The sequence below is a fragment of the Homo sapiens genome, chromosome 2 (assembly GCF_000001405.40).
Source record: "Homo sapiens chromosome 2, GRCh38.p14 Primary Assembly".
Taxonomy (NCBI): domain Eukaryota; kingdom Metazoa; phylum Chordata; class Mammalia; order Primates; family Hominidae; genus Homo; species Homo sapiens.
Genome location: NC_000002.12, coordinates 230,003,179 through 230,014,017, shown reverse-complemented (window position 1 = coordinate 230,014,017; position 10,839 = coordinate 230,003,179). Strand labels below are relative to the sequence as shown.

Sequence of the window (10,839 nt, the reverse complement as noted above, 5' to 3'; positions counted from 1 at the left end):
TCAAAAAAAAAAAAGAATGAAAAAATTTTGGATTCTATATTGCTGAGGCTTAATGCATACATATGCCAACCTGTTTGGGAAAAAAGTAGTAGTAGAACTTGACATTAAGTAAAATATGTTTATTATTTAGTTATAAATTAAAAATATGTATTTTCTATTGTTAATAGATTGTTCTTATACCACTAAATATATAAACCATTGGAAATTTTCAGTATTGTATAATTACAATGGTAAATGAGAACAGAGTAGAAACACAGTTGATTGAAAAGATGAAAAAGGACAAGATTATAAAATGCTGTAAGGCTGGGCAGCGTGGCTCACACCTGTAATTCCAGCACTTTGGGAGGCTGAGGCGGGCAGGTCACGTGAGGTCAAGAGTTCGAGACCAGCCTGGCCAACATGGTGAAACCCTGTTTTTACTAAAAATACAAAAATTAGCAGGGCATTGTGGCAGGCTCCTATAATCCCAGCTACTCGGGAAACTGAGGCAGGAGAATCACTTGAACCCAGGAGGTGGAGGGTTCCATGAACTGAGATTGCACCATTGCACTCCAGCCTGGGTGAAAAGAGCAAAACTCTGCCTCAAAAAAAAAAAAAAAAAAAAATTGTGTGGCATTTCACTCTGAAATGTTAAGACATAAAGCAGATTTATCCATCCACATGAAAGCAGAAATAGAAATGAAAGCTGTTAATAGAAGCAGAAAGTCAAGACCATCGCTGCCTATTACCATGTTATGGGATCGTCACATGGAACCTCACATGGAAAATGAGATGGGGGAGGGAGGGACAAAGTGTTTCAACCACTGAGGATGCTGGGGAGACACAGGATGTTCACTTGATGATATTGTTCCTATTTTGGCAAAAACAATTGTAATCAAGTAATAAGGCACTCAGATTATTATGGCAAGTAAGTATTAAAATAATTTAATAATCTGTATTATTTTAGCTATTATTTAACAATAGTTAACATATTAATGGCTCTTTTTTTATTTACTTTAGCATTTATTTTTATAACATTTTTATATGTAATATTATTATATACTACATATAAGTATATATCGTAAGTATAATATATATGTGAGTAGGTATATACATAGTGTTTTCAAATTGCCATATTTATGTTCTTATTGATTGAAGCTGAATCAACTATTGCGCATGTCCATAAGCTTTCAGAATCTGTTTGTTGATAAAATACTACACATGAAGCTTTAATCATCTTGCACTGATGTTACCAATAAGTTACAGTTACATATTTATGAAGTTATGTTGACATACGTAATTGTGGTTGTGTCTGCATCCTCACGATAAAACCTACGTTCTGTCATTGAAAATTAGGCCATGAGTGAAGTCTGGGAGCTCAGGGAGAGCCAAGGCAGCTAGAGCTCTGCAGAGCACGTGCCTTCTTGCTCTCAGCTGCCTGCTGGTTACCTTTACCTGTACCTGCCCTAGCAAACTCTCCTAAGTGGAGAATGAGGCCTGGGTCTCTTGACAATTAAAGCTTTGCTCTGTTCTTGGACTAAATCCAGACATAACCACGTCAGGCTCCTCATCTGCTGGGAAGCAGATTGCACTGGATTTCACAGTCACGGAAAACTTTTGACTGTGTGTACCTCCAGCAATGAGAAGCAGAGAGGGCTAGGTTGACGGTCTCAAACTGGCACCGGGGAGCCCCGTGACTGGGTTTTAAGGGTGTGTGAATGAAGATTAAAATCTTGTTTGATATTAACATGGGTTCAGTTTTTTTTTTTAATGTCACTAAGCCATGCTGTAGAGCCCTTCTGGAAGGACTTAGGTGGGACAAAGAGCCAGAGTCCACAACTTCTGTATTGTTCACAGGGCCCTAGTGCATCCTGGGAAGTTTCTCTGGCACCGGAGGTGAGTTTTCCTAGGTAGGAAAGTGAAGGTTGCAGGAAAGAAGAAATTATAAGGCTATATTATAATGTGATGTGGAAGTAGAAAGCTACTTTGCTCTGTAACCTAAAAGGAGTCATTAGATTATTTGCTGCTATGAGTTCATTTTCTAGGGGTACTTAATAATCATGAAAGTGCAGGGAGAAAAACATTTTTAAGTAAGCCTTCTCAGTGAAGTGACCTTTCTCCCCAGGACTGTATTCTTTTTACCCCTCTGCCATGTTAACAGCATGCAAACCATATTTACATTTTTACTTAGTTAACTCATAGTCTGTTTTCTTAAATATCCTTGTTAAAAGTGGTAGCTGTTCACATTCCTTTGGGGAACAGCATTTCTCTAAGAAATGTTTATAGGTTTTAGCCAGACATAGTGGCTCATGCCTGTAATCCCAGCACTTTGGAAGCCAGAGCAGGTAGATCACTTGAGGTCAGGAGTTCAAGACCAGCCTGGCCTACATGGCGAAACTCCACCTCTACTAAAAAGAAAATACAAAAAAAAAAAAAAAAAGAAAAGAAAAGAAATGTTTATAGGTTTATTTAACAATGTGAAGTAGTCCTGGGAAGTTGTACTTTGAGCAAGGTCCGCAAGCAGGATGCCTGCACTTCTCCAGTCATGCTCCAGCACCAGGTCGGAAGCTGTCTACATGCGGGGATGGACCCTGGCATCCTGGGCTCACAAGGATAGGGCCCTGAATATGGACTTAGCAGAACAAAGTTGGGAAGGCAGCTGCACCCACCCTGAGTGCCTCCCGTGGTACGTGCCCTTCACAGTTCCTGGTGGGGACACTCAGCCACCAGCTTCATGGCTGGACGCAGACGACACAATGCCAGGAAAAAATTCAAAAGCCCCATTACCCTTTCTAATGCCTAGATAAAATAGATGTCTAATAAAAACCTGCTAATAATCATTTATTGTTTGTTTATATACAATAGAAACCTCTTTTATAATGGGTGTGGGATAAGGATGATGATGGCCTATGGGGCTCCCTGTCTTACAGCCCTTGTCCTCGGGCCATGATTTGACCTCAGAATGACGGTGACTCTAGCAAGGCACTGGGGAGCCAGACTCTGCTGCATTTGTGTGCAAATCCCCTACGAGTTTCAAATGGCTCCACGCATCAACAAAACCTCTTAGTTCTTAAGAAAAGGAGACAGAAGAGATTTGGACACTGAAGAGAAACACAGCCATGCCTGAGCTCCCTGCTGGTAGGAAAATGTGTGCCTAAGGTTGCTTTTCTCTCAGGTTTCCATATTTTTGTTTCCTCTTGCGGAGCTGCCGCTGGAGCTGGAGCTTGTTGGTGAAGAACAGCTGTCTCCAGCCTGTGTCCTCCGCCAGGGCCCTCACGTCAGGAGTGATGGTGTCGCAGGTCGACTGGACTATCTGTTCCCACAGTTTATCAGACATGCACAGCTGTGGGTGGGAAAAGTCAGAGGTGGGTTACAGCACACATGTGTTAACTCATTATCAAACTCTTGCTGCCTGTGGGACACTGGAGAAACACTACCTGTGCCAGACACAGGTCCTGCCTTGAGAAACCTCCTCTTTGAGGAAAACAGCCAGACACAAATATGTAAGTGCACATATATCTAAAGGACATACCCTTCTGCACACACTTAAACTTCCCAGTGACGGCAGTAGAAAGAACATCCTCCTACCAACACCAGGCAACACAACACTCCCTCGTGCAAGGGAAAATGTGTTATTCTCCACCTTCACCCCCACCCCACTGCGGCCAAGTCCCATCAGTCACTGTCAACATCTGGATGAAGTTTGTTGCCTCTAGTTAATTCCAATTCATCTCTATTTATCTATGTATGTATTTATTTATTTTTATTTTTATTTTTGAGATGGAGTTTTGCTCTTGTTGCCCAGGCTGGAGTGCAATGGCGCAATCTCGGCTTACTGCAATCTCTGCCTCCTGGGTTCAAGTGATTCTCCTGCCTCAGCCTCCCAAGTAGCTGGGATTACAGGCATGCGCCACCACACTGAGCTAATTTTGTATTTTTAGTAGAGACAGGGTTTCTCCATGTTGGTCAGGCTGGTCTTGAGCTCCCGACCTCAGGTGATCTGCCCACCTTGGCCTCCCAAAGTGCTGGGATTACAGGCGTGAGCCACTGTGCCCAGCCTTATCTATTTTTTTATCTATCTATTTATTTTTTTTAGACAGAGTCTCACTCTGTTGCCCAGGCTGGAGTGCAGGGGTGCGATCTCGGCTCACTGCAACCTCCGCCTACTGGGTTCAAGTGATTCTGCTGCTTCAGCCTTCCAAGTAGCTAGTACTACAGGTGCACACCACCATGCCTGGCTAATTTTTGTATTTTTTTTTATAGAGACAGGTTTTCGCCACGTTGATCAGGCTGGTCTCGAAGTCCTGACCTTGTAATCTGCCTGCCTCAGCCTCCCAGAGTGCTGGGATTACAGGCGTGAGCCACCGTGCCCGGCCGGAAGTTGTATTTATAACTTTCTCCCTCTACCATCACCCCATCTTCTGTCTGTCTTTAGCCAGCACTTCAGCTCATCAAGATGCTACCCCTGGTGATGTGATCCAAACCTTCTCCAATTCCTGCAAGGTGTGAGCACTTCTTGGTCTTGAAAGTAGAAGATGTTCTATTCTTCTATTAACTTTTGCCACTGCACACCATAAAAAAAGAATGAAACCATGTCCTTGCAGCAGTGTGGATGCTGCTGAAGGCTGTTATCCTAAGCAAAGTAACACAGAAATGGGAAACCAAATAGCGCACATTCTTACTTGTAAGTGGGAGCTAAATCTTGGGTTCACACAAACATAGGCATGATTGCTGTCCCCTCATAATGGAGCACCAGGGCAGCCTCCCTGGCCCATACCCAGCTTCCCCCTGCCCATCCTACCTCCTATCCCAAACAGCACCAGCCCTGGCCAGCCCTGTTGTGCTGTGCCCCCCTGTGTCCTGACTTCCTCCTGGGGAGGAAGAAATGTGTAAGTGTGACCTCTACCTCCTGACACCACTACGTTCACTTCTGAACAGAAAGCAGTCACCACTCCTTCCTTCCATACTTCATGATCTTCTAAAAGTACTCCAATAAGGGAAGAGAATGAATTACAAATAGAAATGAATAGTACAATAAGGCATAATTGCTTAAGATCCTTTCTGCGCAAACATCAACACAACAGCTATTATAGTCACATAATGGTTATTGCTAAACAGCAACACTGAATCATATGATATCTACAGACCTTAAAGCATTTTGATGTTAGAAGGGTCACTCATTATCTTATCTCTCCTTCAACAGTCCTTCAAGGTTTAGTTCCTCTACTCAGATTACAACCTATTCTAAATATAAACAAAGGAAAACTTTAAAAATGTCTTAATATGAAAAACAGATCATTTGACCTTCCTTTAAAAGATCTGAACTCCAGCACCAATGTGGATTACTATCCCATTACTAGCACAGTACATTTCAGGATATCAATGTGTCTTGTAATAGAGATTATGGGTGGAAACTACAAGATTTGGGGGGAAAGGAAATAATTCTCAAAAGAGCTAAAATTTCCACTAGTATAACTTCATTTATGACTCATCAAATTTTATACTGAAAATATTTACAGTTTTGTTTTATATTATAAGTTCGTGTACAAAATACCCCCATCTATGACTCCCAAACCCTGACGATCTTTTGCTTAGTAGTTGCCAGGTTGCAAAACGAAAGGTTCTATAGTTTTGGCTACTCAGATCCAAAGCCCAGCTAACCATGGATTTAGCGCCCCCCGGTGGTGGTGCATGAATTTTGCATACATAAATTGTCAAGTTGAAGAGAATCTTAGGGCTTATCTATTTAAAACCTCTCCCTTTGCAAATAGGAAAACCAGGGCTGAGAGAAGAGAAGGGAGAAGGATGCTGTTCCAGGTTCATGCTGGGGAGTGGCTGAGCGAAGAACAGAACAGAACCCAGCTCTCCAGCCTCCTGCTTATTTAAACACACCACACTGCCTGCGCAGTGATGCTAGGAGATCTCCTCCCGCAAGCTTCCAGCCTTCTAGAGTCCCCTGAGACATTTGATCTGTACAACCTTAATATCGATTGGTCAAATTCTTGGGCCAGGATGAGCACAGTGGCTCATGCCTGTAATCCCAGCACTCTGCGAGGCCGAGGTGGGTAGATCACTTGAGGTCAGGAGTTTGAGACCAGCCAGACCGACATGGTGAAACCCTGTCTCTACTAAAAATACAAAAATTAGCCAGGGGTGGTGGCAGGCTCCTGTAATCCCAGAACTTTGGGAGGCCGAAGGGTGGATTATTTGACATCAGGAATTCGAGAACAGCCTGGCCAACATGGTGAAACTCTGTCTCTACTAAAATACAAAAATTAGCCAGGTATGGTGGCATGCGCCTGTAGTCCCAGCTACTTGGGAGGCTGAGGGAGAATCGCTTGAACCTGGGAGGTAGATTGCAGTAAGCCAAGATTGCTTCACTGCACTCCAGCCTGGGCAACAGAGCGAGACTCTGTAACAAAAAAAAAAAGAAAATTGTTGGACCAAACCCTTAGAATCAGGTTGCTGTAAACACAAGAAAACACATTAAGAGCACAAGTGCTGGTTCCACCTCAGATCTACCAAGCCAGATGCTCAGGGGATGGGCCTGGCATCTGTGTTTCCACCTGTGCCCCAGGGGCTTCACCTGCTTGGCCAGACATGGGAATTATGATCATAGAGGGTTTGTAGACATGAGGAAAAAATCTCTCTCTCCACAGCCAACAAAGGACAGAGGAGTGGTTTTCTTCCTAAGTGGTTCTCCCGGTGATTCCTGAGTCACAATCAGGATGAATGTGTTTATATGCCTGTCATGACCATCTCTTTCCCGGCCTGGGCCTCAGCCTTCTCATCTAGCTGCACTGGTGGTTTCTCCAGACTTATCTACTGCATTTTGGAGGAAATGGATAGCATCAAGGCCTGGTGCTATCAGGGGCAAGCCACTAGGCACCCCAGGCAGGTGCCCAAATGGCAGCACACCTTGGTGAACTTGTCTCAGTCCGAGACTGGCCCCACCCTGACAGGTGTGGAGCTCTACTTTCCAGTATGCTGGTTGCTCATCCACAGCTCCAGGCTGCAGGCTCCAGGCCTTGGTCAACATAGAATCAGAGCAAAGGCAGAAAGCTGGATGATCCTGATTGCTGGTGGCATTAAGTATAACTGGATACTTCCATCCTCAACTGTGGAATAGCACCATGGACTCCCTGGGCTGGGGTGCCTTTCACAGAGTCCCTACACAGTCTGGCTCTTGGGAATGTGTCTTTATGCTTCTAAGGCAGAAGCGATACTACGGCGTCAGGTCTGGCCGTGGGAGCCTTTCTGTCTCGTAGAGGTGACCCTGCACACCGCACTCTTAACAGGCTCCATGAAAACAACACCTTGACCATGTGCCTGCAGATCTGCCTGCTACTCCCCAGCCCCTCCCACTTCATTCCCAGCCATATTCTTCCTTTGCTCTGCTCAAGAATGTAAGCTCCTTAAAGGCAGGGACACGTGCATCTTTTCACCTTCAAGTCCCCAGAACCTACCACTGTGTCCGGCCCACAGCAGGGGCTCAGTAATTACATACTGACTGCACAGAGCCCTGAAGTGTATCCATATATCACTCGGTCCAGCAGTCGGGTGCCTGAGGGAAACTCCCTGGCCATATGACCTCGGGCACATCAGTTAGACTTGCTGAGTTTTAGCTTCCTTATGAATAGGATGGCAGGGCGCAGTGGCTCACGCCTGTAATCCCAGCACTTTGGGAGGCCAAGGCAGGCAGATCACCTGATGTAAGAAGTTAGAGACCAGCCTGACCAACATGGCGAAACCCCGCCTCTACTAAAAATACGAAAATTAGCTGGGCATGGTGGCATGCGCCTATAGTCTCAGCTACTTGGGAGGCTGAGGCAGGAGAATTGCTTGAACCCAGGAGGCAGAGGTTACAGTGAGCCAAGATTGTGCCAGCCTAGGCAACAGAGCAAGAGTCTGCCTCAAAAAAAAAAAAAAAAAACTAAAATAAAATAAAATAGAATGAGGATAATAATAGTATCTACATCTAAAGATTTCTATGAGAACTAAATAAAAAATGTAATTAGAAAACTTAGTGGAATGCTAGACATACAGTAGGTGCTCAATAAATGTTCTTATGGGCTGGGCGTGGTGGCTCACATCTGTAATCTCAGTACTTTGGGAGGCCGAGGTAGGCAGATCACTTGAGGTCAGGAGTTTAAGATCAGCCTGGCCAAAATGGTGAAACCCCATCTCTACTAAAAATACAAAAATTAGCCAGGTATGGAGGAGGACACCTGTAATCCCAGCTACTCAGGAGGCTGAGGCAGGAGAATCACTGGAATCTGGGAGGCGGAGGCTGCAATGAACGAAGATTGTGCCACTGCACTCCGACCTGAGTAACAGAGTGAGACTCCATCTCAAATAAATGAATGAATGAATAAATGAATGAATGAATGAATGTTATAGTCTGTGACCCAAGGTACATACTTATTTCCTTTTTTCCATATGCATGGAGGCGCATATTATAGTCCCAGTATACTACCTATATCATGCATATTTCAATATATTTCTTTGAGTATTTTAAATAGTTACACTTAGCAATTTTTTCTACAGATAAACATGCAATGCAAATTGTATATAAAGTATGGAGCATCATTTATAAATACAGAGGGTAAACAAAAAATCTGGTTAAATAAATTATCTTCACTGTGTGTGGTGGCTCACACCTGTAATCCCAACACTTTGGAAGGCCGAGGCAGGAGGACTGCTTGAGCCCAAGATTCGAGACCAGCTAAGGCAAGATAGCAAGACCCAGTCTCTACAAAAAACACAAAAATTAGCCGGGTGTCGTGGTGTGCACCTGTAGTCCCAGACATTTGAGAGGCTGAGGTGGGAGGATTGCTTGAGCCCAGGAGGTGAAGGCTGCAGTGAGCTGTGTTTATGCCACCACACTCCTGCCTGGGTGACACAGCAAGATGACCCTGTCTCAGGAAAATAAATAAATAAATAAATAAATAATCTGTCCATGCGCTGATATCCTATGGCAATTTTTTTAAATGGAGGAAGATTGATAGGTACTGATGTTTTATTTTATTTTTGAGATGGAGTTCCACTCTTATTGCCAAGACTGGAGTGCAATGGGTCAATCTCGGCTCACTGCAAACTCTGCCTTCTGGGTTCAAGCGATTCTCCTGCCTCAGCCTCCCAAGTAGCTGGGATTACAGGTGTGTGCCACCATGCCCAGCTAATTTTGTATTTTTAGTAGAGACGAGGTTTCACCATGTTGGTCAGACTGTTCTCAAACTCCTCACCTCAAGTGATCCACCTGCCTCGGCCTCCCAAAGTGCTGGGATTACAGGTGTGAGCCACCATGCGTGGCCAGTACTGATATTTTAAAAGTGTCTAAAATATGTTGTGAAGTAGAAAAAAAAACAGATGGAGAACAATATATAATATGTTACTACATGCTTTTTAGAAGGGTGTGTGTACCGGTATATGTACTTGCACATCCCACACACATATGGTTCTACATGTGTAGAATATCTCCGGAAGGACATGCAAAACACAGTTAATATGGTTGCCACTAGAGATGAGAATCAGAGGAATGAGGGTCAGGACTGGGAGGGGCAATAACTTTTTAGTTTATATACAAGGATACATAATTTTTAAACATTTCCAATCTGACCATTGCAATGGATGTCAACTTTCTTTTTCAAAAATATAAACAAAATTGATATGGAAGCATTCAACCACCGTTTTCTGGGAGGTAACTCTGGGCTAGACACTCTGTTAAGGTGGGTATATGAAGTTAGGTGACACAATCCTTGCCCTTGAGCTTGGCAGAGAGACAAGTCAAGGGGGTGGGGCAAGCAAGCACAAAAGCCAATCAAGGGGCATTTGGGAGATCCAGGTGGTGGTTGAGTCAGGAGGAGAATATTCCTGGAAAAGAGAGCAGTGTTAAGCAAAGGCAAAAGGCACAGTAGAGCACAGCACACAGAGAGCTGCAAGGAGCTGACCTGGCTGGGGCAGAGGGTGGCAGGAGGCAGGGCAAGGGCCCCGTGGCTGTGCTGGCTACGACTGTGGACCTCATTCTGAAAATGACAGGAAGCCATTAAAGGCCAGTGAGCAGGACAATGGCATGACCAGAGTACAATGTAAAATGGCCACCCTGAGCTCACATGGACAAGCAATCACTGAAGCAATGAAGGGGTTCCCAGGAGAAAACCCACCAGAGTCCTGGAAGCAGAGATGAGTCAAGAAGCAGAAGACTTGGTTGGGCATGGGTGGCTCATGCCTGTAATCTCAGCACTTTGGGAAGCCAAGGCAGGCGATTACCTGAGTTCAAGAGTTCAAGACTAGCCTGGCCAACATGGCGAAACCCTGTCTCTACTAAAAATACTAAAAATTAGCCGGGTGTGGTGGCACATGCTTGTAGTCCCAGCTACTTGGGAGGCTGAGGCAGGAGAATCAGTTGAACCTGGGAGGTGGAGGTTGCAGTGAGTTGAGATCACACCACTGTACTCCAGCCTGGGCAACACAGCAAGACTCCGTGTCAAAAAAAAAAAAAGAAGAAGAACACCTGAAACAGGCCCTTTTGATACAACAAACACAAGGTTGTTGTGAATGTGCCAGAGATATTTTGCAGGCATGGACCGAGGGGAAAATGAAAGAGGAGCTGTAGGCTGACATTAGACTAACACCTCTCAGAATTTTGGGTTATCCTAAGACCAGTGAATTTTTTAAAAGGCAGAACAAAATAAAATGATAATAAAGAACAAAAATAAGGTTGCTGCTGACTTTCACATTTTGTCAAATAAGAACAATTTTTAAAGTGATCATGTATTATTGCCACCACTTCATAAAAAAAAGAACTTTTTTTTTTTTTTTTTTTTTTTAAGACGGAGTCTTGCTCTGTAGCCTGGGGTA

The 10,839-nt window shown here is 44.1% G+C and overlaps 1 protein-coding gene across 2 annotated transcripts in view, besides 1 other annotated feature; it reads right to left on the bottom strand.

The window, feature by feature from the left end:
• Window positions 1–898: 898 nt before the first annotated feature.
• FBXO36 (F-box protein 36) overlaps window positions 899–10,839 on the bottom strand; it is a 90,617-nt gene continuing 80,676 nt past the window's right edge. For both annotated transcript variants that reach the window (NM_174899.5, XM_005246317.3), the window contains exon 4: window positions 899–3,322. In NM_174899.5, the coding sequence (NP_777559.3) occupies window positions 3,134–3,322 (189 nt within the window). In that variant the 3' untranslated portion in view covers window positions 899–3,133. The remainder of the gene's footprint in view (window positions 3,323–10,839) is intronic.
• Window positions 7,040–7,229: a silencer, noted in NCBI's record as "fragment chr2:230871505-230871694 (GRCh37/hg19 assembly coordinates)". NCBI's record gives its function as "represses an EF-1alpha promoter that drives an FKBP-Casp9 reporter gene in an ReSE screen in HepG2 liver carcinoma cells {active_cell/tissue: HepG2}" and the evidence as "EXISTENCE:reporter gene assay evidence [ECO:0000049][PMID:32094911]".